The sequence below is a fragment of the Homo sapiens genome, chromosome 8 (genome assembly GCF_000001405.40).
Source record: "Homo sapiens chromosome 8, GRCh38.p14 Primary Assembly".
Classification (NCBI taxonomy): domain Eukaryota; kingdom Metazoa; phylum Chordata; class Mammalia; order Primates; family Hominidae; genus Homo; species Homo sapiens.
Genome location: NC_000008.11, coordinates 124,255,785 through 124,257,456, shown reverse-complemented (window position 1 = coordinate 124,257,456; position 1,672 = coordinate 124,255,785). Strand labels below are relative to the sequence as shown.

At 48.3% G+C, this 1,672-nt stretch overlaps 1 annotated feature.

The window, feature by feature from the left end:
- Positions 283–362: an enhancer, noted in NCBI's record as "active region_27880". NCBI's record gives its function as "activates an Ori minimal core promoter by ATAC-STARR-seq in GM12878 lymphoblastoid cells {active_cell/tissue: GM12878}" and the evidence as "EXISTENCE:reporter gene assay evidence [ECO:0000049][PMID:35858748]".

The window sequence follows — 1,672 nt, the reverse complement described above, 5'->3', positions numbered from 1 at the left end:
ACAGATATTTCCTCTGACCCATATGATGAATTGTGTCCAAGGGTAATAGATCAAGGAGAGAAACAAACCCACACACCAACAAAAGGAAAGAAACATCTTGTAGTTTATCAGATTTAAAGATGTCTCAGTTGTGTCTCATGGGTATGTTTTCCTTGATTTTCACAGGGATCCCATGAGCTTGGCAGGAGTGTGTGATCTCACTGCATAGGTACAGACACAGCACTAATGGAGGCTGAGCACAGATGGCAGAACTGGAGACAAGCTCCCGGGAACCCAGGTCCCTGGGAGGTGGCCCTGGCCTGTGGGGTGAGTCTGTATTTCTCTCTGCATCAGAAGCTCCTCCTTGGAAATGTGGCTGTTGTGATGCTGTTTGCCTTTTTGGTTCCAATTCTCTGGTTACTCTTCACAACTTCCCTATGCTGAGATGTCTAGCTGTCTCAGTTCTGCTTTCAGGACAGAAGAGAAGGGCTTGTTGGCCCAGCTTGGGCCAGAGTTTTAAGGGGAAGGAGGATGAGTCTGGGGTATAATATTGGGGCCACAAGAAGCTGAGTAGGATAAAGATGAGACCCAGAAGGACAGCAAGGGGTCTCGGGTATTAGGAGGGAACCCTTCTACACATCTTAGCTGGGCCTGTGTGTGTGTGTGTGTGTGTGTGTGTGTGTGTGTGTGTGTGCGCGTGTGTGTGCATGTGCATACACTCACAGAGCTTCTGCTGCTGTTGCTAGGGTATATTATTCCCTCACAGACAAATCCCAAGTCCAGTCAGAAGACATTTGTGAGCTCCTTGGAGTTCCAGATCCAGGACAGGTTAGCTCAAAAGCAGAGTTGGTTTGTTCAATGCGCTCCTCCTTGTTTACTTCTACAGGAGGAGGCTTTCCTTGAGCTATGGAAAAAGGAGAAACAGGGCCCAGGTTCTGCTCGGGCCTCCCCTTCTCATGGGGTAATAGACCAGCTGGAAGCAGGTAGAAGCCACTCCAGTCTTATGAAGGGCGCCTTGTTTCTCGGTGTTGCAGAAGATCCCTGACCCAGGGAGTCAGAAGGCCCGGGTTGAGGGCCTGCCCTGTCCCCCTGCCTTCCTGCACTTGGGAAGGGCCTTACACCCTTCTGCATGTCAGTGTCTTGCTCTTCCATGGACATCATAACCCTTGTCCTAGCTCCCAGTTCTGAGGATCCAATAAAGCAATGGAGGATTAGCAAAGACACTGAGAAAATCAAGCCTTTCTCATTCAGCATCATAGGTTTCACTCTATGAACAAACAGAATAGAAGCTCAGCTTTTCTTCCCTCAGTGATGATGCCAGAATTGATCATATTTGCTCCTGGATTTGAGACTGGTGTACTTGAGCATTGGAAGCTGAACAAGACTTTCCTATGTGACTTGGGTCGTATTTGCTTCAGTAACTATCCTGCTCTCCCTACACCTCCGCATGCCTGTCCTCATCCAGAGTGTCTGTCATTGGTTTTAACCCTTCAGAATAGCTGCCTGGTGCTCCAAGGTGACATGATGGGTGTGCAACCCTCCTTGCTCGCTGATAACTTGCTTGCTGAGTTTTTCTAGGATGGGTACTCATTAACGCTTTCTAACCATCTTGCAAAGGAAGAAGTCTGAAGCAGGGTGTTGATTGTGATGGGGTTTGATGCATAACTTGTGTGAACAATTACAGAAGTGACAA